Raw genomic sequence first — 24,841 nt, 5'->3', positions numbered from 1 at the left:
AGTATGTCAATTTTGGAAGCTTGAGTTGCATCTGAATGATACTGATCACCTTGGAATGGTGGAAGAGTTCCTCCTTACTAACAATGTTGAGAGAAAATTACATTGTTCAGCTCTTATTTCCACAGATAGTATGGAGGAGGGCATCTATTAGAGGTAAGTCTTTTCTTTGGAAGCAGCTTTAAGTCTTTGTGTATTGATAAAGAGAAGAAAAAGCTCACAGGAACATTATCTTATCCTTTTCACAAGTGGTGTTTTAACCTCCTTTTAAAATTGTAAGCAGGGCCAGGCATGGTGGCTCACGCCTGTAATCCCAGCACTTTGGGAGGCCAAGGTGGGTGGATTGATTGAGGCCAGAAGTTTGAGACCAGCCTGGCCAACAGGGCAAAAATCCGCCTCTACTAAAAATACAAAAAATTTAGCTGGGCTTGGTGGTGCACGCCTATTGTTCCAGCTACTCGGGAGGCTGAGGCACAAGAATCGCTTGAATCTGGGAGGTGGAGGTTGCAGTGAGTCAAAATCATGCCACTGAACTCCAGCCTGGGCAACAGAGCAAGACTGTCTCAAAAAAAAAAAAAAAAAAAAAAAAAGAGTAATCTATTAGTTAAATGTTTGGTATTATTCTTCATTTCTAAAATCTCATAGTGTTTTGACTATTTTATAATTCTTAGAATGATTGGCCTAATAGAATGCAAACTCTATTTTTGCAGGTCGATTTCCACTTTTTTGGTCAGTTTAAAATATTAAAAAAAGACCCAAATTTAAAATAATCACTATATTCTAGACGAGAAAACTTACTGAGTTCATTTTTATAATTTTTTAACATGTTTTAAATGTTAAATGATAACAGTAATTTAAAATACACTCAAAAAATTTCTCTGACAACAACATGTATTTCTATATACCAAGAGTATGATCCTACTTATCCATTTGTAGTTAAAAAAATTCAAACAGTATGGAGATTTTGCAAAGAACTAAAAATAGAACTACCATTCAACCCAGAAATCTCACCACTGGGCATCTACCCAAAAGAATAGAAATCATTATATATAAAAATACCTGTTTTTAAAATTTTTTATTTTGTTATTTTTCTTTTTCAACTTTTATTTTAGAATCAAGGAATACATGCGCAGGTTTGTTACAAAGCTATATCACATGATGCTGAGGTTTGAGGTATGACCGAACTCGTCACTTAGGTAGTGAGCGTAGTACCCAATAGACAGTTTTTCAGCCCTTGCCCTTCTCCTTCTCTCCTTCCCCTAATAGCCTCCATTGTCTATTATGTCCATCTTTATGTCCATGTGAACCCAATGTTTTGCTCCCACTTATAAGTGAGAACATAAGGTATTTGGTTTTCTGTTCCTGCATTAATTTGCTCAGCATAATGGCCTTCAGCTGCATCCATGTTGCTGCAAAGGACGTGATTTCATTCTTCAGTCTTCATTCTTTTTTATGGCTGCATAGTAGTCCACGGTGTATATGTACCACATTTGCTTTGTCCAGTCCACTGTTGATGGGCACCTGGATTGATTCCATGTTTTTGCTATTGTGAATAGCACTGCAGTGAACACATGGGTACACGTGTCCTGTTGGTAGAACAGTTTATTTTTCTTTGGGTTTATACCCAGTAATGGGATTGCTAGGTCAAATGGCTATTCAACTCCCAGTTCCTTGAGAATTCTCCAAACTATTTTCCACAGTAGCTAGACTAATTTGCAATCCCACCAACACTGTATTAGTGTCCGCTTTTCTCCGCAGTCTCACCAATGTGTTAGTTTTTGACTTAACAAAAGCCATCCAATGCAAACTTTAAGCGAGAAATATCCATGTCAGGATTTGCCACGGAATGGAGTGTGTGCCAGATGCTATGTGGCTGGTTGTTGCTTGAGTGTTTAATCACCATGAGACCAATGCTCCTTAGCTACCCCATGGATTTCATCAATTATAGAGTAGTAAAATTTACTAAAGTGAGAAATGGATGTAGCAGCTGGCAGTACACATAATTTGGAAAATATTAGGAAATATGTAAGTAACTTTCTAGCATTACAATGTTTTAGCTGGTCTGCGCTTACACTTTAAAACTTAATTTTTTGAGAGAGAGTTTTTCTTCCAATTAGGGAATAGCAAAGAGTATGCAACAGGCAGGTTTGGATCCTCTTCAGATCTGGTGAAGTTATAGTATAAAAAAGCATACTGGCTAGCGTATCTGAACAATGGGTTCAAGGCTTTGTACCACAACTAGCTGGTTGTGGTCATTTAACCTCTCTATTTCTAGATTCATTGTCCAGAAAATGAGAGAACTAGGTAAGAGGTTATCTGAGATGACTTAAATTCTACAATAGTTTTATTCATAAAGGAGCAAAAGATAGGCAAGAAACACTACAATTATTTCCTTTCAAAAGGATTAAGCCTTGAAAATAAGTTTATTTCATTTACATTATCTCAGTCACATTATTGCTGCTACTGTATACATATTTTACAGAATTAAGTAAAATTACCTGGCTAGAGATTCTTTTTCTCAAGTCAGCTTTATGCCTACGAAAAGTAAGCAATGTGTTTCCATTTTATTTATTCAACATAAACAGTAGTGTTGCAAAGAGAAACACAACTTGGTAATGGACTTAAGTAGTTGGTTAATTATTGTTGTTAGGAACTTAAAGCCATATCCCAGAGTTTTATTTTAAGTCTAGAAATGAATAGAAGCTCTATGAAGGCAGAAACCATGTCTGTCTTCTTTACCTGTATATTCACAGAGCCAAGACTAGCACCCAACACCTAGTTGCTTCTAAGTAAATATTGTAGAATATATGAATAACTACAGAGTGCTTTTGGAGAATATCTGGTTGCCAATTGAAAGCTCTACGATTCAGGTCAATGAAATTGGTTAAGCCATATTTCATGTATTTTTCTGACATAATTGGCAACAGTAGGGAAAAAATTCCCTGTAAGTGGGGAAAACTCTAATATTTCCCCAATAACTCTTTCTACTTTAGGATTGTCATTTTTTTTTGCTATTCTAGATTAATTTACAGTTAATCATATAAATCAATAAAGTTCAATAAAAATATATATTTTTCTTTGATGAACCATTTCCAGCCATGCTTTCAGTTGGCAAACTCTTTTCTTATTATATTAAGCATCTCCTATTGCTTAATAGCGCATAATATTGAAAAATCTTTTGAAGAGACAAATGACTTCAGATATCTAAAGATATTGACAGATACTCTACGTTCCTTTTCAATTTCCTTTCAGAATGTACATTTCATTCAACTTTTCAATTAAAAATTTTAATATAAATATTTCCCTAACGAAAAATATGGCTGGTGGATGTAGACAGGGCTTCTTTTGTAACTTCCAAGAACAAGGCATCTTGGTTTACAAGATTGGTTCTACAGGCCTCAAGACCCATAGGATTCACAATATGAGTTATGTGCTATTCGTTAGACAGTATCAAGGGATGCAATACATTTTCTGCACATTTTTTGACGCATTATTTAAAATCAGAAAGAATTTTAAAAAGGCTTATCTAAAGTGCCTAGCCATATTCACCCTCAAAATGGTATAATCAAATAATGGCATTGACCTTAGAATATCTGAGTATTTGTTGACTATTAATATATATGGTACATTATATATTTTTGGTGGATGTATTGATGATTACAAGGTGCAAGGTCTCCACATAGAATACTGACCATAAAGCACTTACTGTTGGGTGTAATGTATGTTACTGTATCGTGTTACTCTGTGTCGAGATGTCATGGGGGATGTGGAGCCAACGGTTTGGCCTATGGGAAGGTCTGGACTCATCATTTGCATCACTTGAATTTCTGGCCCTACTAAAATATTGCCGCTCATCACAGGTCCCATACAACCCTCAGTCGTGCTACTATTGCTCATGTCAGGCACACCAGGACTAGCCAGTACTCTCTCAGCATAGATTACATTGTTGTAATCTGCTAACTCAGCAGGTACACAAATATTCCCTTGAATATCATAGACAGGTGCCATTACTGCTTCGGTTACTACAACATTGGGTGCAAGCTGAGGATCAAAAATAATTGTAGTGGGTTGCACACATGGATCAGCATTACCGTAAGTCTCAGTCACAATAATATCCCCATGGACCACGGGTTCAGATGCTGCCATTTCTTCTTGGAATTCAACTTCTGAGGGAGTCAATCCTGAAGATTCATTAACAAAGTAATTAGGTCCGAGCAAAGGGAGGTCAGTACTGATTGGTATACAAGCCTGGTGTGAAGGAAATGGTTCAATTTCTGTGTTTAAGCAGATCTCAGCAAGAGTCCTAAATTTTGGATCTAAAGTTTCCATGCAGCTTTCATCTAAGTCATCCACAATCCAACTGCAACAACCAATAGAGCCTACGGGAGACCCGACTCCCTCGTGGTCATAAATGAGCAAGCAGTCATTGGCTGGTCGACCTTCATCTTCATCTGCATAAGCATACGCTTTCTAAAATTAAAAGGAAATACAGAATTAGAAATTTCTTTTTCCCTAAAATAAGGAAGAATAACAGCAATCCCTCAGAGAGACTTCTGAGTTAAGTTGTTACGGAATAAACTGAATAATGGTATCAATCACTCATTAAAATAATTGATACTATCCATGCACATTCTGTGATAGCATTTGTAACTACCAATTTTAAGATATAGTTTACAATTGCAACAACATCTTCAGCATTTGTTTGGTAAAGAATCATGGTGAAATTCATGTATGAACAGATGGAGAATAAAGCAGGCCGACTGAAATATGAGATAAAATTCTAGTTCTATTTTAGTTCTTTTAAAATGTGTAATAAATTATTGTTAACTATAGCAATCCTGTTGTGCTACCAAATACTAGATCTTCTTCATTCTAACAGTATTTTTGCACCTATTAACCATCCCACTGTTTCCCCTCCCTACTACCCTTGTCAGCCTCTAGTAACCATCATTCTACTCTCTATCTCCATGAGTTCGGTTTTTCCTTTTAGCTTCCACAGATGAGTGAGAACATGTCAAATTAGTCTTTCTGTGCCTGGCATATTTCACTTAACAGTGTCCTCCAGTTCCATCCATGTTGTTGCAAAATGACAAAATTTCATTTTTTATGGCTGAATAATATTCCATTGGGTATATGAATCACATTTTAGAAGTCCAATCATCAGTTGATGGACACAGGTTGATTCCATGTATTGGCTACGTGACTAGTGCTGCAATAAACATGGGGGTGCATATATTTCTTTGATATACTGATTTCCTTTCTTTTGGATATATACCCAGCAGTGCTATTGCTGGACCCCTTTTCGTAGTGAAGGTCAGTTGGTGGATAAGTCACTGGACTGAGAATAGGAGAGCTATCTTCTAGGTCTTAATCTAGCACGAGTTGTGGTGATGCTGCGTTCCTGAGTTTTAACTCCTTTCGTTCCCAATTCTTTTTATTTTCTCTTTTCTGTTGGAGGCTCCGGGAGAACATGAAGGACATCAAAAACAGAGGTCATAAATGCACCTTTTTTCCCCTTGATGAGCATTTTCCTGCTTTGCTACTGCTGTGGGAAACAAGGTGAGGAATCAAGGAAACAAAAGATAGAAAAATGGAAAAGGGAAGTGGAGAATGATGAGGGGTGTGGCCTTGTTCACGGTACTAAGATGCGCTATGGCAGTTGAATATGAAATCCTGTGGCAAATTAGCATTTTGTGTTTTAAGGAGACGTGAAATACTTTTTATTCAGGTTTGGGATAGGGTTGAGAATAACAGCATATTTCCGAAGAGGCCTACTACCATTGTGAGTATTTTACTATTATTATTATTCAATCTCAAGACGATTTTATGTGTGACTGTGAGGGCATTACCTCCGAGAAGTAGCTGTCCAAGAAAGCCATGTTGATGTCTGCGTCAGCGTAGTCCCGCAGGGTTCCCATGGTAGAGCTCCTCTTCCTTGCGGCCCCTGAGGCTCCTGCGGCCCCTGCGGCCATGAGGCCAACGGCTGTCCCCATACCTGTGTTGAGCTCCACTCCCGATACACCTCCTTCCACCGTGCCCCCGGCTGCATAGGTGTTGGTGTAGATTTCTGAAAAGGGAGGATGTTGGTTTAACAGCGCTGGAGTTGCCTGCAGCGCGCATCTGCCTAAAACGCTGCCGCCGCCGTCTGCGGTGCCACCACCACCCGGCAAGGCGTAGGCGCTAAAAAGCTGACAAAGAGAGATACAAGTTACACCGATACATCTCCAGGCTTGTTGACCAAATAAAAGTAAATTAATTACACAGAGGGAGTCAGTGGTGGGACGTGGCCTTCCCACATTTGCACAGACTTCGCCCTAGACTTAAAGGTGTAGAACTAGCCAAGAGAACTACAAGCAGGCGCCCGTTCCCGCCGTGGCTGCTGCGGGCTTGATCCAGCCGGGAGCCCTCCAAAGCAAGGCCAGCGGCGTGATTGCAGAAACTGAGCTCATAGTCCTCCTTCACTCCGGAACAGGATGGAGCTGGGCTCACAGGGATGTTCAGTCACGGAGTTTCTTTGCATACAAAGGGCCAAGCTTGGGATACTAAGGAACCATCAGAGAAAGCTCACGTGCACTGCAGAATTAAGCACCCTCTCTGTTTGGTGCAATCATTGCCATATAGCTAAGTAGTGTGTTCAGTATTGTTAGATATGCGTGGGGCTGGTAAGATAGGAGAGTTTACGACACTCTTTTGAGGCAAAAGCTTGTCTGAAGTTAAGAAAAGTTATTCAGTGTATTATTAGAGTACATTTACTGCCTTTTCTTTAGCTCTTTAAAAAAAAACAGCTTGTATTATAAATAATTACTACAGTGCCAGGCACTACTCTAACGTATATTTTGTGATATATGTATATATACACACTTATATATGTGTGTGTGTATATATATAGACACACATACACATGTATGTTATATATAATAAAATAATCTATACAATATATGTATGTATTATATATTACATATGTAATATGTATTATTTACTCCTCACAGCAACACTTTAAAGTAGGTACTATCATAAGCTCAATTTTAAAGATAAGGAAACTGAGGCCCAGTGAGGTTAAATGTCTTGACTAAGGACTTATTACTACAGGTTGAGCATCCCAAATCCAATAATCAAGAATCCAAAATGCTCCTAAGTCTGAAACTTTTTGATCATCATGGTACAAAAAGTTTGAGCCAAACTCAAACTCATGGTCCTATGCATTTCGGATAAAAGATATGCAACCCTTAAGCAAGTGGCAGAGCTGGGAATCAAACCCAAGCATTCTGCTTCCAGAGTTTGCTCTTTTAACTGCTGTGTCATACTTCACTGTCTGTAGTTTCAGATAGAAAAAAAAAGTGGCTACTTCAAACAGGTCACATTCCCTCTAATTATACTGTCACCCAAAGAGACTGACAGACTTTTCCATAAGGTACTTTTACATGAAGTTGGTCTGGTTGAATAATTTTGAAAAATTTAAAAGGAAAAACAGATTTTGGTGTCTACTGACCAGAGGAATCCATCCGATCCTGGGTATTTGAGGCTGTCATGGGTGCACATATATTTGACACATCCTGAAAAGAAAAATAAACATTTTAAAAACAAACGCTTTATGTTAAACATTTAAAAACTGACATCTGTTCATTTTTGTGCAGCATGTAATTGTTAAGACATGCTCAATTTCCACTGAAACTCCACACTTCTCTGGAGAGTGACAGTCCACTTACCCTGTCCTCGGGATGGGCCCCTTCAATTCTCCAAGACTGCATCACTCCTTCTCCGCCCTCAGGCACAGGAGCAAATCTTGTTCCCAGGCCTTCTGGCTGTCTCTGTTTGCAGCAACACAGGAGCAGCAAGAGTGGAGCCACTGCCCAAGAAAGTGACAATGTCGAGTTAACACACATTGCTCGGTTTAGGAAGTCACTGGATGAATCATTCTGGGGAGCATTTGGTGGCAGTATATTTAGAACAAAAATACAAATATATGTAAGAAAATCTCATTTTTTTCCTTTAGGGGATTGAGTATACATATCCAAGTTTATAAATACAGCACCACCAAATCACATAGAACTTTAGCGCTAGATGGCAAGGAGTTTGCGATCAGGTAATTGAATTTCTTTGCTGACAGATTAGGAAAGTAAGGTCGTCTTTAGTCTAAGACTCTTGAACTGGTTGGGGCAGATGCACACATACATGTAAGTTAAACGCATCATGAATATATGTTATCAAGAGGATTGAATACAGGATTCAGCTATAGGACCTGGAGATAGGACCTATCTTCAATCCTTATTACAGTTACACTTAAAATAGAAGTCAAATAATACTCACTAAATTTAATGGAGATATTTACAATTATTTTAAGACTTTGTTTATAGACTATAATGAAAAATTAAAGCTATCAAAAATGTTTAGCTATCCAAGTGTTTCTTAAGAGGAAATTTCCTATTTGTTACCCTAATAATCACCTCAATTCTGTATTTTAATCCATAAATATAGACACTGCTTAAGTTTTCTAAGATTCTAGAATACACTCTGTTTAGTTCTTTGGGCCCACTCTGGTTGCTTTTCATACTTTCCTAATTCTCTAGCATGGCATGCATTTTACTAAGTGGGTTAATTAAAGATAAAGAATAGAAGGATAAATGCTTGAGGGGATGGATGCCCCATTCTCCAGGATGTGATTATTTCACATTGCATGCCTGTATCAAAGCAGCTAATGTACCCCATAAATATGTACACCTATTATGTACCCACAAAAATTAAAAATTAAAAACAGATACAAAAGAAGAGACTATCAAAGTTGCAAAATCAGCTTTAGTCTTATTACAACAATTAATTTGGCAATTTTGCCATCTGCACTATGAACAGTGAAAGGTCAAGTTATACATTTCCATAGCATTTTCTGGAAAAGGACTAAAACTAAAATTGGTAGCCCCTAGGCCATGGTTCTGCCTATTCTATATTTCTGTGAATTTAAATGTGAGCTGGATCATGTACCATTGCAGGCCTGAACTCTAACAAAGGCACTATCTAATAAATGAAATGAAGTGTTTTTAGCACATACCCAATACAATTACTGTATGTGTAATCTCATTTGGAGCTAACATCAAAAGTGTCAATTTGAGGCCCTTTGGGAACATAGGTTTGGGCTCAGATCCCTCCCACTACCATCACACTGCCCCCTCTCTCCTAAAATAGACCATGGGCTTCTCCATTGAAAACAAGTGTCCATAGGGGTATTCCTCTCCTATTCTACAATCCATCAGTTGAACAACTCTCATGCTTTCTTTGTCTGGGTCAGGAAAAAGTCTTGAAATTCTTAGTGCTAACGTTCTGGAAATGCAGCTGGCACTGGGTTTTTAGCCCTGAACTGCACATTAGTCTCACCAAAGGGCTTGAACATGCTGATGCTTGGTCTCATCTTGAGTATGACTCTAGTATGAGTAATTTTGGAAGACCTTTAACTAATTCTTATGTACAACTAGGGTTGAGAACCGCTAACTCAAAGCTTACCCGAAACCACTACTCAATTGCTGTAGAGTTATATTCTGGGAAAATGTGTCTAATATCATTGTGAGAATCACTCATGATCTTTGCATAGCTTTGAAACCTCACAGATTATTTCAAAAAAGAAATCCTCACCAAAAGTCAGCTGTTATTTTTTATGCCTTGAAATGATTACATTTTAATTAGTGCTCATCCCTGAAAACAGCAACAATACAGTTTGACAAATTTACTTCTCTTTAATTTTAGAACCCAGCTTTTGATCCCCATGAAACCTAAATATTGCAAGGGCAACCTAAAATGTATGAAGTATTCTTCCTCTGAGGATCTATATGTTTAAAAAAACTCTATGGGGAAAGGAGGGCCCTTTTTGGGAAATTTTTGTTTGGTGATCTTTCCACTTCTGTGACCAGTCTTAGTTTAGGCACTCACCCAGAGCCCAGAGGCTAATTCTCTGTTCTAGTCTCTTCTACTTGCTTCCTACCGCAGGGTCACCTGCGCTCATCAGCCCTCATCAACTCTTCTGTGCCATTGTACTGAAGCCCAGAATGCCTGGTGTGTCATGAACATGCCTCCATGCTGGCTCCCAGACTCCCTTTTGCCTCTCTGCTTCCTAGGTGTGCTATGCTCTTCCATATCTTGCTCCCTTTTGTTTGTGTGTGTGGTTTTTTTTTGTGTGTGTGTGTTTGATTACCTTTCAAATTTCCTTAGACATCATCCTCCTTTAAAAGAAATCCTCAGCAGGGTGCAGTGGCTCATGCCTGTAATCCCAGCACTTTGGGAGCCCAAGGCAGGTGGACCACGAGGTCAGGAGTTCAAGACCATCCTGGCTATCATGGTGAAACCCCGTCTCTACTAAAAGTACAAAAATTAGCCAGTCGTGGTGGTGGGCGCCTGTAGTCCCAGCTACTCGGGAGGCTGAGGCAGGAGAATCATTTGAACCTGGGAGGCAGAAGTTGCAGTGAGCCGAGGTTGCGCCACTGCACTCCAGCCTGGGCAATAGAGCAAGATTCCATCTCAAAAAAAAGAAAAAGAAAAAAAGAAAAAAAAAATCCTCAGCTTTTCAGGCTCACCTCAAAATCCACTTTTCCAAAAGATTGTCCTAACTTTTCCACATGGACTTAATTGCTTCTGCCTCTCTACTCTTAAAGCATTTTAAGGAAATTTCCATGATGGGATTTGTTTTGTGCTTTTAGGTAGTATATGTAGTGATTTGCATGTGTTTCCCATTTTTAGGACTGTCACTCACCCTAGGCTTTCTTAGTTATCATTGTGGATTAAGCGCATATATTTGTCAGTCCCATTGTTTATTTCTAAGGCACTCAAAAATTGCTAGAGATACCAAAAAGAAATGGCTCCATGAACCTAACCATCCCAGCGAGCCTCGTAACAGCCCTATTTTGAAGAACTATTGAAAAGAAGGATTTAATTGAGTACTTACAAATCAGTAGCAGGATGCCCAGAACCATCATGCCAATCCCTGCTGGTCCAAGACCAACATTTGAAACTCCAGCTTGGTCTTCAGTGACAGGCCCATACGTGTCACCAGTTATGTCCTCTGTGTAGATGCCCGCGGCACCAGAGTCCAGGCACATGTGGTTGTCATCGCAATCACAGGCATATAACTGCACCATTTGTGCCAATTCACATGCTCTGTTATAGCTGTCCTTCACCAGGATTGGGATTTCATAAAATCCTGGAGATAAAACCTGCTTAGCCGTAAGGATTGCCGAGGTAGCTGAAATGGAAGAGAGGAAACAGAAAATAAATGGAAATTCCTTGGTGGGCTAGGGGGGTGGTTAACTCTCCCTAATACCAAATATTGACTTAAAACACTAGATTTTTCATGCTTTCTTAGTCATAAAGCACCTTGTACTTTTTTTTAACATTTATTTAATTTATTATTATTATTATTATTCTTGTTATTTTTGAGACAGAGTCTCATTCCTATTGCCCAGGCTGGAGTGCAGTGGCACGAACATGACTCACTGCAGCCTTGGATTCCTAGGTTTAAGTGATTCTCCCACCTCAGTCTCCTGAGAAGCTGGGACTACAGGTGTGTGGCACCATGCCTGGCTAATATATATACATTTAGTAGAGACAGGGTTTTGCCATATTGCCCAGGGTGGTCTTGAACTCCTGGGCTCCAGCAATCCACCTGCCTTGGCCTCTTAAAGTGCTTGGATTACAAGCATGAGCCATTCTGCCTGGCCTTTTTTACTTTTCTTTCTTTCTTTTTTTTTTTAACATTTATAACTAATTTTTAAATAAGTATTGCTTACTGCTGGATTGCTACTTCTATAATGCAGGCAAGGACCTTGCTGCATCTTTCCAGAGCAACAGTAATTGGCATATAATATACATTCAATAAATATTTGCCCAATGAATAAATAATATTGAGCTGAAAGAAAATATTAGAAGTCTTCTATTTAGGATTACAGTTTACACAATACCCTCCTTAAGACTGTTTATATGTATCTTACTCAAAATTGTTGCCCTTTCATTTAAAATTGTTCACATTCTCCTAATTCTTTGTGCTATCATTGCCTATGAATTTTCATAAAACATATTGTCTAAAATATTCATTGGAATTTATTTATTAATACAAGGAGTGTTGAGATGATTAAATTTACAGCTAAACCATGAATAGTAACTGATTGATCCATAGCACACAATATTTTTTATTATGATGGTTTATTATCCTCAGTTAGCTAGATGGCAAGCCAGCTATGTCCACCAAAATCTAACCTGTGCACAAGGTAAAAATGAGATAAGGCAATGCCACAGCACATTAAGTGAAATTCATTCTGTTCTAAAACACCAGCAAGCATTGAAACAGGTCTCTAGGAATATCATCTCCAGTGTGGTTATATTTTTTATTGGCAAACCTGTAATAGCTATAATATTATACCTCCATGCAGAACATTTTTTCTTACATGTGTAATCATAATATCTAGGATCCGAATGAGGAAAAAAGTGGTTAGCAATTATTATTGTTTATGAATGGGCTATTGAGCTTTATAGGAGATGGTGAATTCAGAGTTGACTTGATATTAATGGAATTGCTTTAACATGATTAACTTTAAAAAATATTAAAGTGGTTTTGTTGAAAAGAGCTAAAGGTTTGATGGTAAAAACAAATTGCCTAATTTCTTACTTTATTGGTGGTATTTTCCCCACCTTATTTTAGGGTTTCTCCATTCTGTAAATAGAGGGGCTTGGTGACCTTAAAGAGGTGGGAAGTATTTCCTCTCACCCTGGGCTCTGTAGTCTGATGGCCACCGACTAGCCCATGAAATTTTCCCTGTAGCCCCAAATGAATATGAGATTGGGGAGCTATCTTAGCCCATATGAGATCCTCTCATAGCATTTTCTTTTTTATTATGCACTTAACGTTTTAGGAAAAAGAACGCAAGGTAGATAAAATGTTATGTTATCTGAAATTTATTCTTAATTTTTATCGATGTCAGCCATTCAATTGTATGTAGTTATAGTCAAGATACATACATATACAACTTCGTGATCTGTTTTTCACTTTACTTTCTTTGGTTTATGCATTCTTTTGTATCTACATACTTTGCATAATTCTAATTTTAATGGCTGTATATTAACACATCTTAATAATATGTACTCTGTTTAATCATTCCTCTAATACTGAGCAATTTGGATTTAAATTTTTACCCTTAAAAATAAGTCTGAACTCATAGTTACTGTAAAAAACAATTTAATTGATTTTATGTGCTCCTAAGTGAGTAGTAAATGTTTAAATGTATCTATGGGATATATGAGTTTCAGAGACATTTATGTGATTTGTCTGAATTTATTCAGAATAGGGAATTGTGACATTCTTAATTTATGAGTTTGTTAAGGGTTCTGTTTATTTTAAACTGAATAAATATTGGTTCAACGTTTTACCTACTCAAAATGATGGGTAAACTGGTATTTATCCACTACTATTTGTAAATTAAATATTAATGAAACATTTTGACTCATTTCATTTCAGTTCAAAATTTTATCAAATATCCTCTGTGTACATGAAATATTTTTTTCATTTAATGTTAATATGGCAAGAACTGTGGAAACAGAAGTAGAATGTTTTATTAAGTGACTTGCCACATTTTTTGGTAATTGTTTTGCTTTTGGACTTAAAGTCCAAAAAACAAGCTTACGTTTCACTTACCATTTGTTGATCTGACATCCCACATGTCAGCTATTCCTGGTGGCTCATCAACAACACAGAAAGTAAACGGAGACCCATAAGAATGTTCATTAACAGAGATAAGGACTGATGGAGAGTCAATGCAGATGGTTCTTCTTTCAGGAAAAATGTTTGGACAATAATCATTGATATCAGGAACCTCAATACATATGGTTCCTGTAGCTGTTTTTCCAGAGCCATCTGAAAGAGTAAGGGTCATTGGTGTTGAGGTAAATGGTGTTAGGGAGAAAACTCTTTCTCATATCCCCTGATGATGCCATGGAACTTGTAGGAAACATATACGTGACTTGGGAGGCTTGACAGGTTCCTGCCCGCTTCAGTGACCCAAAGTCACTCTTCCCTTTGTGTGCTACCTTCCAGCCACACTGCTTCTTTTGAGTTCTTTAAACAAGTTTCTTTTTTACTCTGGACTCTGGCACATTCTTTTCACCCTTCCTAAAATGTTTTCCACCCTCATTTCATTTTGCTAATTCTGACACATCCTAAGGCGCAAAATCAAATGTTCTTCCTCCGAGAAGGTTTACTGGTTTCTAATCTCACCCTGTTCCCATAAATTAGACCCCCAGGTCAGTTATGAACCTCCATTCAGGATGCTCACTGAGTCCTGTGTTTGTAGAAATAACCACAGCTGAAATAAATACTTGTTTGTGTTTTTCTTGTGTGCTCACTGTTTATTTTAATTGCATCTGTTACATGCTATTTCTTTCTGAAATGGCATTTCTGAAAACAAATATAAGTCTATTAGATTTTTCCCTAATCCACTTGAAACAAGTTTTTGGATAGTATAATTAATCAGAAAGGGCCAAAGACTAAAGATTAGGAGTCCAGGAGCTTTTTAGTCCACTTTTCTACTCTATGTTCTGTTACAGCGAATACGGAATTTTTTTTGCTTCTTTTTAACTTGAAAAGAATCTTAGCTTTCTCGCTTTTAAACTAGAACGTTGTCGTCTCTGGGGTACCTTACTAGGTCCTTTTCTGAGAAAGCAATAAATTCCTTTTACAGATGTTTTCTGTGTGCCTAAGTAGTAGTCATTGAGGTAACTGAATGAGAATAAACTGAGAGCCTACCTATAGTCTATATGATTTTGTATAATATGTTTATATACCCTATTCAGCATTGGACTTGTTTTTACTAGATGAAGGATGTCGATTTCACTTAGCTTCTCATTCGAGAGGCATCAGATTATTCCACAGATTGTTTTATTTGTCATTCTTTGATCTTTGGTAGCTCTTCTATTACCTTGTGATTGGCAACCAAAGCTCAAGCTATTGCTTATAGTGTTTGCTTCCCAGTAAAGTTTGCTCTGCATAGAGGTCTGTCTCTTCACCTGATGATGGTGTGTGCTGAAGCAAACTTATTCCAACCATTCAGATAGCTCTGTGCCAGTGCAGACACTCTGCTTAGGTGAATAAACAATCAGCTTTGTTTCTGGGTTTCTCTTGGTACATTTTGACAGCACTTTCTCTCTCTTTATTTGCTTGGAATGACTAATTATTTATTCTAGCATTTGAAGATTTTTCACATATGACCAATATGCAAACATAGGGTGCAATCAACATGGTTAGAATCCATTTTCAAATTAGAGCTTCCAGAATACTGATAATGAATAAGACAATGTTATTTATAAAACTGACCCAGGCGTTAAAATTTACCCGCCACAGGATGAAGCCCAGGATGTACAGATGATAGTTGGTTTGGTTTTATCATGGTTTCTTTTTGAATTTTATGCTGCTTCTTTATCTTTATTTTTGTTTTGATACTGGAAAGGTCAGCTATAAACTCAATGCAAACCTACAGTATCTGTCTTACATTAGGCATGTATCTTGGACGCCTGTCTTTCCCCTTCCTTCGTGGTTCCTGACCTTTGTCTCTTGTTTGGTTCTACAGCAGCTGGTTTCCTAGGCACTGCTTCATAGAATCATTAACTATTGATAAATAAACAAATCCTGTTGCTGCTCACCAAGAGGACTGCTTAACAGATTTACCCATGTGAGAGGTGGCTCGCTTACAAGTTAAGTCAGTGCATCTGTATTTATGACTTTTAATATGGATCTTATATTTGGAATAATCTGTGCTTTCTTGGTCCATAGCATCTTACTATGGAAATATGTCTAATCAAGCAACACTCACACAAGCTTCTCACTGTAGTTCAGTTTTAATGGATCTAAAATAATTGTATTCTTGGAGACATTGCTTTCCCACAAGGTGATCCCCAAATGAACTTTGTAGAGCACGTAGCCCTTACTTTAAGTAAACATTCCCAACATACCCTACAAGTGAGATTAGCCATACTCAAGAGACAAAGTCATAATCAGAAGATGAATTATATTTTAACTTTTATGCTGTAAGCCATATACAACTCAGTTTTGGAAGTAGATGAAATAAACTATGGCTTCAGTGTAAATTATGATTTTAATTGACTTCAATTCTTGATTTAAGGTGTTTAGGGCTTTCCATAAGTCTTGCATACACCATTAAAAATGTCTGAGTCACTCAAATATCAGCATTAGAATAACATAATATTTAATATAATAGTACTAGTTTTCTTAAAATACTGAAAATAAATTTTCTTACCATCTATAGCCAGGATCTCTGCTGTGTATATCCCATTGATAATATATTTTGACTTCTTATCAAATTCTCTAGAAAATTGTATCTCACCAGTTCTTGAATCAATTTTTAACCAGCTGCCTGCATCATGCCCTATGATATATCTGTTTTTAAATAAAAAAGTTCGTTATCATGCTTTTATGAAAGTTAGTACTTTTAAATCATGTAACAGCTACAATGTGGCAAACTTTAATATTGTGTTTTTATGTTTTATAGTGATGATTGCCTTGGTTTATAAAAAGTACATATATATCAATAAAAATTCAATGATATATACATTAATATACAGGTCTGCAAGTTTTAAAATTTCATCATTTTTACTCTTCTGGCTCCTAGGATAATTGTTAATAAAATGTATGAGTTTATTTCAGCTCTATTTATTAAATCATAGCAATGTAAAACATCCTTTATTCATTTTCAGAAACACATATTGCTTATTTATTTTTGTATGTGGTATACTTAGGATTTTTTTTGTGGCTTTTCAGCTATGTTGATTTCAGAGCACCTCACTGATAGCCTGTTGGGGGCTTGTGATATCCTCTGTTCAGTGTGACTATCTGGATCTTGTTACAGATGATAGATTTAAAGTGCTTGACCTCACTGGAAGAAGATCTGGTCTCTACCAGGCACAATTTCAAGTCTTCAGTTCCTTTATCTGAACTGCTTTTACCTCCACCCATCCTGGCAGACTTCACAGGTTTTTTTGCGTCTGTCAATTTGTTAACTGATTTAATAACTAAAACTGTGAACATCAAGGTAACTTATAAGTCAGTAGACTTCGTTTACTCTAAGAATATTGGAAGAAGAAAAGGAGATAGAGAAGGGCAGGATATAGAGAAGATCTGTGTACTTCACTGTGGTTATTTCCAGAATATTTTACACTGTTCTAATTCACATATAATCTAGGTACCTAGTGCCCCAATACTATCTTTTTATTTCTCCTCTTCTGACTCTCCCTATGCCTATCAATTTTCTAAAACACTGTTTTTCGCTTCTATGATTGTGGTTTTTCTCTTAGATTAAGCAGAGGATTGAAATTAGTCTCTAAGTCATAGTAACACAGGTTTAAGAAAACAAGCAGTGACTCAACTTTTATGGTGACTTATTGCCCACAATATGGCTTAATCAGCCCCGGTCCAGGGTAGAACAAACTGGCCACAAAAGATCAAAAAGACTTATGGAGTAATTTAGGAGGCTCTTTGATCTTACAATTACTCACTGGACACAATTACTTTTATAACTAGTTGGAGCCCTTACATTATTGAAGCCTCTAAAACACTTAAAATTCTAAGATTTCAAATGCTCTAATAGTCTTTTAAATCAAAGGAATAATAAAAGCAAAAAAGCCCTCCAAAAGTATTACAACCAACATATATTAGCGCATGCTACATGAATTAACACTGGATAGAACCATAGAACATGAAGAAAATAGTTGCAGTACCTGACATCTGTTGCAGGGTTTCCTGTGTCCAAATCTATGGCTGTATATGTGCCAAGCACATAATTCAATAAGGAACTTCCTTTTATTCCTTCCCGCACACTAAAAGCCATAGTACTTGGATGAAATGCAGGTCCTTCTCTCACATCAACAACTTGAATTCTCACAGGGGTTGGGTGCATTTGGAATTGAGAAGCAACGGAGTAGTGAAAATCAGCTTGGTTTTTAACTCCGATACTAAGCTGAATGTTAGGTGCTTGTTCATAATCCAGCATCTGAAATGAAAGAAAATAAAAAACTCTGAAACAGCAAAGAACTCTCTTTCGATAAAGTAAGAAGCCATGGTAAAGCAAACCACACACTAGAATAAGGTCCAGGAGATACGCTGTTTAGATTTTGAATTGAAAAAAATTTTACTTATTACTGCATTAGGTATCTTAGATATGTTTTTCTGTTCATCTTTTAGCATAATCAGCTATGTAGATTATTTAAGGCTGTGATTTTAAATTGGAATAAAATTTTGGAGTTTTGGACTTTTTATACAAAAATGCTGAAATGAAAAACGATTATTTTCCAAATGAGGTGTTTATGAAAAAAAGCTTTAGAATAAAATAAAAACTGTTCACACTATTGAATGAATAAATAAATAGTACCCAGATTTCCTTTATAGAACTCACATCTGAGAATCTTTTGAAAGTATAATCAGCAGAATAAAGGTGCTAATATATATGATGTCACTGAACACGTAATTTTTTTTTAATGGTGTACACAACTTACAAAGAATTTATGATGATTATAGTCGCCGGGTCTGGTGGACAGGAAGACTCCTTTATGGGGCATATTCAAATAAGTAAATGCCATGCCCAGAGAAAAGTCACCTTTGAAATGGGTATTCTGGATAAAAAATAGAATCTTTTGATCCAGAATGATTGATGTGGTGACATGAAAAGTCACAATGAAAAAGTAGTTGCAAAGAAAGAATTGCTGAACAATGTCTGCTTAGAAGGGTTCTGGAAGCTAAGCATCACTTGCAATGCATTTCCAACAGCAGAAGTCAAGATATCAGCAAGGCTTGCCATCAGCAGAACTCTGTGAGGTAAATCTCTGCTTCTCAGGGAAACTCCCTGACATCATGAATGTTTCCTTAGGTTTTAGAGTTACATCTTTTTAGAAGAGCTGATAAGAAAAACATTCACAGAAATTTACTTGGGTTCTTCTTTGGAGATGGCTCAGCATGCCGTGCTTGAATTTCAGCCAAAACCCTTGAGGTTTGAGATTTTGATTCCTTTTGCACATCTGTTTACAGATCCACATAATACCTAGTCCACTGGTCCACGTAATAGACCACCCCACATGATACTTAGCACAGAACTGAATATAAATTATGTACTCAAAAATCACTTTTCAATTGGAAGAGATCTTTCTTCTACAAATCATTTTTTTATTTAATAGAATTCCATGCTATCTTCAAATAAATGAAAAATCGAGAACCTCAAGTTTTTTTTTTTTTTTTTTTTTTTGAGACAGGGTCTCATTCTGTCGCTCAGGCTGGAGTGCAGTGGCACAATCTCAGCTCATTGCAACCTCTGCCTCCTGGATTCAAGCAATTCTCCTGCCTCAGCCTCCCAAGTAGCTGGGACTATAAGCATGCGCCACCACACCGGGCTAATTTTTACATTTTTAGTAGAGACGGGGGTTTTGCCTGTTGGCCAGGCTGGTCTTGAACTCCTGACCTTGGGTGATCCACCTGCCTTGGCCTCTCAAAGAGCTGGGATTACAGGCATGAGCCCCTGTGCCCGGCCTGATAACCTCTATTCTGATAGAGAAATCTCTTGTGCTTTTCTTATGTATATACACAAATGCACTTTTGCTTGTAAGAATATTAATAGTTCTCTCCCCATTGAACAGAGTGTGATGAAAATATACCAACATGTGTCTAAAGTTGTATAATTAAAGATCTTCACATAATCTAGGAACAGGAAATTGTTCTGGGGTCAACCTTTCCTCTTGGAGGAAAGCCAAATAGAGGAAAGGCATAAAATTGTTTACTCATTCTTCGCAAGTGGGGCCCTTTAGTCAGGATTTTCTGATTGTGTCCAGAGGTCAAGGATTGTAAAGAGCAATGGAAACAATGGTTTACTCTGGAGTCTCTTCATAAAGTAAAGGGAGAGGCTGGGGAAACTCAGTCTCTGCAGTTTAAGGAACAAATGAGGAATAACCACTTAACAAGGTACACAGGCGTGTGTTAGAGTGGCTGGGGGTTTGACCTGCAGTGACCAGGAGTGAGGCTCTGGAAGGGCTCAGGATGAAGATAACACATCCAGAAATGTATTTGGCTTCTGGCAGGCTTTTGGCTGCTGTAAATTGTAGTATAGAAGCTACGCTTAGATTCTCACATCCAATTTTTTTGTTCTAATTTAATATGACACTGCTAATTCTAGTGGGGACACTGATTCATTTTAGAATTAAGTATGAAAAAGGGAGAAAGTTAGAAGTCTCCATCCAAAAGAGAATGTGATAGCAGTTTTTCAACAGCAGGGGACTGGGGAAATGGTCAAATATCTGCCTGAGTGTGTATGTTCTGTTTCCAGGAAGGCTCATTTCCTGGTACAAATGTGTCTGGAAGAGAGAAGCAGGGCACACACAGCTGGGAAGGAGTTTATAGTGGTACACAGACTTGGAAGAAAAGTCTCGGCATGCTAGTTCTTTCCTAAAATCGGTTTTACTGGCCCCCAATTACGCAGTGAGACACGAAGGTGGCAGTTAAATATGACTTTGGGACCAGAAAGTTCCAGTTGGTTCTTGTCTTTGCCATTCACCACCTGGGTAAATTGAGACTAGCTATTTGTCTTCTTCAATTTTGTTTCACTTTCTCTAAAAATGGAATTACTGGCTGGGTGCGGTGGCTCACACATGTAATCCCAGCACTGTGCGAAGCTGAGGTGGGCAGATCACTTGAGGTCAGGAGTTTGAGACCAGCCTGGCCAGCAATGGTGAAACCCCGTCTCTACTGAAAATACAAACATTAGCCGGGTGTGGTGGCGCATGCCTGTAATCCCAGCTACTCCGGAGGCTGATGCGTGAAATTGCTTGAACTTGGGAGGAGGAGTTGCAATGATCACACCACTGCACTCCAGCCTGAGTGACAGAGTGAGACTCTGTCTCAAAAAAAAAAAAAAAAAAAAAAAAAAAGCAATGACCCTATTTTCTTCCGAGAGTTGTGAGGATTAAATGAGATAATATATGTGAACCCTCTGGATACACCTTATAACAGAATAGTTGGTGTTTAGTAATTGCTTAATAAATGTTAGAATTATTATAAAAATAGAGAATCAATTTTTTTGTTAGAATTCCAATTGGGTAGCATTTTGCTTTGCTTTTTTCTCAGTGTTGAAGTCAAATATGTATATATATATACACACACACTTTTTTATTGCTTGCGTTTTCATATACACTTATCAATAAATACCAAGGAGAGGCTGTTATTGACAGAGAGACTTTCATTTTTCTGAGATCTTTCTCTTGTTAAACTGTAAATTCCTTGAGAACAGGGACCATATCTTATTTGCCTTCATGTCCTTAACACATAGCAATTCTCAATAAATCCTTATTTTTCTTCTGCCTCCCTGGTCCGCGTTCAAGTGATTTTCATGCCTCAGCCCTCCCAAGTAACTGGAATTACAGGTGACCGCCCCACACCCATCTTTCGCTAGAGACTTGGTTTCACCCCGTTGTCCAGGCTGGTCTCGAACTCCTGGACTCAAGTGACCCTCCCGCCTTGGCCTCCCAAAGTGCTGGGATTACAGGCACGAGCCACCTTAAATCCTTTGAATTGAGTCTTTGTAATTTCCTCAGACTAAGAGAAGGGTTATATAAAGCTTAGTCAAAAGTCCAGTTTCCTCAGGGTTAAGGGGTATCCCGAATGAAAATGGAGAAGGTGTAAGAGGACATTAGTAACCTCATTCCAGATGTATCTGGAATGAGAGGCTGACCACCAGCTGTTGAAAATGTCAAACATGGGAAAATTACGCTTATGTTCTCTAAAATAGTTCTTTTGGCTAGGTAGTAATACAAACATCAAGGTTTAAAATTTCATTTTAATTAGCCTTTCTCCATTACTTTGGTATTTTTAAGCACATTTTTTCTTACTCTTTTTAAGAGATTTGGAAAGTTATCATTCAGAAAAAAATAGATAGGGCTTTGTATATACAGCATCCAAATTACCTTGACAAATTTTTCATGAAATTGATATTTCAATAGCTTTTTTTTTTTTTTAGCAATTAAGTATATCTTTAAAAAAGTTGTTATCACAGAAGGCACATTACATAAGTCAGATAGTACATTGCCTGCATTGTTAATTTTTTTCATATTTATAATTGTATGCAGAAGTTACGAATGATGCAATCAAGTCCAGTGACTTCTGTTTGGATGATATCTATGCCATTAGTTTCAGGTAAATAGTATCATCAATACTATTCTCAAATTTTGTGAGTCTCTACTATCTTTTGGACACTGGACCAGGTGCTGGGGGTAGAAAGATATTTAGATCAGGTTCTTTATGCACAAAATTCTTCTATTATTTTAGTAGGTTGGGAGACAGAACAAAAGCAAAGAGCAGTTACATATTATGAGATAATATACAAAGTTAGTCACTAAGATGATAAGAACATAGGTAAGAATTGCATGTTATGTCTAGCTCTTGATTTTTAACCAGGATGCAAGGTTTAACAAATTCTGATCCCTGGAAGAAAAACTTGACTAAATATTCAGAATTTGATATGGTGGGAGGTGACCTCTTGTTCCTCTATTCCTCTTTGTATTGTATTTGGCAATGTCTCCTATACCCATTCCTTTTTTTTTTTTTTTCCATTTTTACTGCCATTGCCTTAGATCAGATGCTTAGTACCTCAGAACTTAATTAATATCATAATAATTTTTATAACTGTGGTCTTTTCAGAGTTGAACTCATGTTGTTAAGTTTCACTTTTGTTGCCGAGGCTGGAGTGCAATGGCACAATCTCAGCTCACTGCAACCTCCGCCTCCCGGGTTCAAGCGATTCTCCTGCCTCAGCCTCCCGAGTAGTTGGGATTACAGACATGTGTCACCACACCTGGCTAATTTTGTATTTTTAGTAGAGATGGGGTTTCTCCATGTTGGTCAGGCTGGTCTCAAACTCCCGACTTCAGGTGATCTGCCCGCCTTGGCCTCCCAAAGTGCTGGGATTACAGACGTGAGCCACTTTGCCAGGCCGGTGTTATTGTTATTTTAGAAAATATCCCAAAGCTTTCCTTGGTCTATAAGTAGGAATTGAAAAACTTTTGGTTAAGGGCCAGATAGTAAATGTTCTAGGTTTTAGGGGTCATATCATACAGAGTTTCTATCTCAAGTATTCATATCAGCAACTTGAGTGTGGAAACAGCCACAGAAAATACGTAAATGAATGTATGTGGTTGTATTCCAATAAAACTATTTATGAAACAGGGGACAGGTGAGGACCTCTGGATCATAGTTTGCTGACCTCTGGCCCAAAGCAATGTTTTCCAAACAGAAAGTCCATGATATACTCTTTGAGTCCTTGTGTTCACTTAAGAAATTATAAAATTGTGTGTATTCATTTGGATGACAATCTTATATATAAATATTTTTCATAATTTTGGTGGCCAGCTCTTAAGTTAATATACCATATGATTTCAGTGTGTATGGTTGTGCTTTGGTGGTAAAGTAGTAATACTAAAATTGCTCAGATACTTGAGAAAGAAAAGCGAAAGACCCAATGAATAAACGATATGTTTGCTTCCAGAAGGCTAAATGGCTTCCTAATATGCTATCTGAAAAAACTTCACAGTAACTTGATGATATGGTTTGGATGTCTGTCACCCACAAATCTCATCTTTAAATGTGATTCCCAAAGTTGGAGGTGGGGCCTGGTGAGGGGTGATCGGGCAGATCCCTCACGAATGGTTTACCACCATAGCCTTGGTGATAAATGAGTTTTTGCGAGATCTGGTTGTTTACAGGAGTCTAGGACCTCCCCCTTCTCTCTTCTGCTACTGCCCTTGTCATGTGATGCACTGGCTCCCCCTTTGCCTTCCACAATGATTGTAAGATTCCTGAGGCCCTCACTGGAAGGACATGTTGGCACTTTGCTTCCTGTATGGCCTGCAAAATGGTGATTCAACTGAACCTCTTTTCTTTATAAATTACCCAGTCTCAGCTATTACTTTATGGTAACACAAAAAGAGCCTTATGTGCTTGAATAGAGAAAAATAGTAACAGAACTGAATAATCACACTGTAAATTCCACAATCACACTGTGTAGTAAGCTAAAAATATGTGTGTACATATATGTCTTAATATATATTTTCCTGGCTATAAGTGTTGTTTATGTTGTTAGCAGCAATTTCCTTTGTTAAAAAATAACAATTTCCCTCATTACAGTAATGTTAATCTGAATCTTATTGGTTTGTGGTTTTATTCGTTTCTAATTATAAATTTTTCAGTTTTATCATTGTCTGTGAATTAAAAGCAAGTAATTAAAGAAAAATTAATCTATAGAAAAAAATCAAAGCCGGTATTTCAGTATGCAAGGTTCTCAGCAGATCGATTTCAGCTTCACTTCTCTGATCTGACTTCTGATTACTTCCCTACTTGATGCCCCACTACAGCCCCACGGGGTTGCTCACCATGCCCTGAACTTGCTTCATGTTTTCTCACTCTGTGTTTGTTTATTTTATTACCCACATTAGCAATCTTAGCTATAACATCTTGCTTAAGCCTTATTTCCTGCATGAAATCTTTTCAGACAAATCTAGCTCAGAAGGATCTCACCATTTCTTATCTCTTTCATTATTTCATATTCCACTCCCTTGGCAATTAATTATGTTTTATATCATGACATCTGTATTATTTATTGCACTGTGAACTCCCATATATCTTCTAATTTGGGGTTGCTTACCTTATCTTCACAACTAGATATTGGACACTGTCAGAACAAAACAGTCTTCATATTTTTCTTGGTAATAAGTTTTGTGTTGCTAGCTAGGAGACTCAGACTGACATAGCAGTTACTTAGGACCCTTGATATAAACAATA

General features: G+C 37.5%; 1 protein-coding gene and 1 long non-coding RNA gene across 3 annotated transcripts in view, besides 1 other annotated feature; one reads left to right on the top strand and one right to left on the bottom strand.

The window, feature by feature from the left end:
* Positions 1 to 24,841, top strand: part of DSG1-AS1 (DSG1 antisense RNA 1) — an 83,621-nt gene that overhangs the window by 9,694 nt on the left and 49,086 nt on the right. The window lies entirely within an intron of this gene.
* DSG4 (desmoglein 4) overlaps positions 2,386 to 24,841 on the bottom strand; it is a 38,133-nt gene continuing 15,677 nt past the window's right edge. Inside the window, exons 9-16 of one of the 2 annotated variants that reach the window (NM_177986.5) lie at positions 17,752 to 18,023; positions 16,275 to 16,414; positions 13,661 to 13,879; positions 10,922 to 11,218; positions 7,704 to 7,843; positions 7,487 to 7,550; positions 5,847 to 6,064; positions 2,386 to 4,467 (exon numbers count right to left, since the gene is read on the bottom strand). In NM_177986.5, the coding sequence (NP_817123.1) occupies positions 3,700 to 4,467; positions 5,847 to 6,064; positions 7,487 to 7,550; positions 7,704 to 7,843; positions 10,922 to 11,218; positions 13,661 to 13,879; positions 16,275 to 16,414; positions 17,752 to 18,023 (2,118 nt within the window). In that variant the 3' untranslated portion in view covers positions 2,386 to 3,699. Of the gene's footprint in view, positions 4,468 to 5,846; positions 6,186 to 7,486; positions 7,551 to 7,703; positions 7,844 to 10,921; positions 11,219 to 13,660; positions 13,880 to 16,274; positions 16,415 to 17,751; positions 18,024 to 24,841 lie in introns of both variants that reach the window. The other variant, NM_001134453.3, reaches the window with a different exon arrangement.
* Positions 18,823 to 19,023: a silencer, noted in NCBI's record as "peak3094 fragment used in MPRA reporter construct". NCBI's record gives its function as "represses an SCP1 promoter by STARR-seq MPRAs in K562 erythroleukemia cells {active_cell/tissue: K562}" and the evidence as "EXISTENCE:reporter gene assay evidence [ECO:0000049][PMID:32103011]".

Source organism: Homo sapiens, chromosome 18 (assembly GCF_000001405.40).
Source record: "Homo sapiens chromosome 18, GRCh38.p14 Primary Assembly".
Taxonomy (NCBI): domain Eukaryota; kingdom Metazoa; phylum Chordata; class Mammalia; order Primates; family Hominidae; genus Homo; species Homo sapiens.
This window is presented reverse-complemented; position numbering and strand designations above follow the sequence as displayed.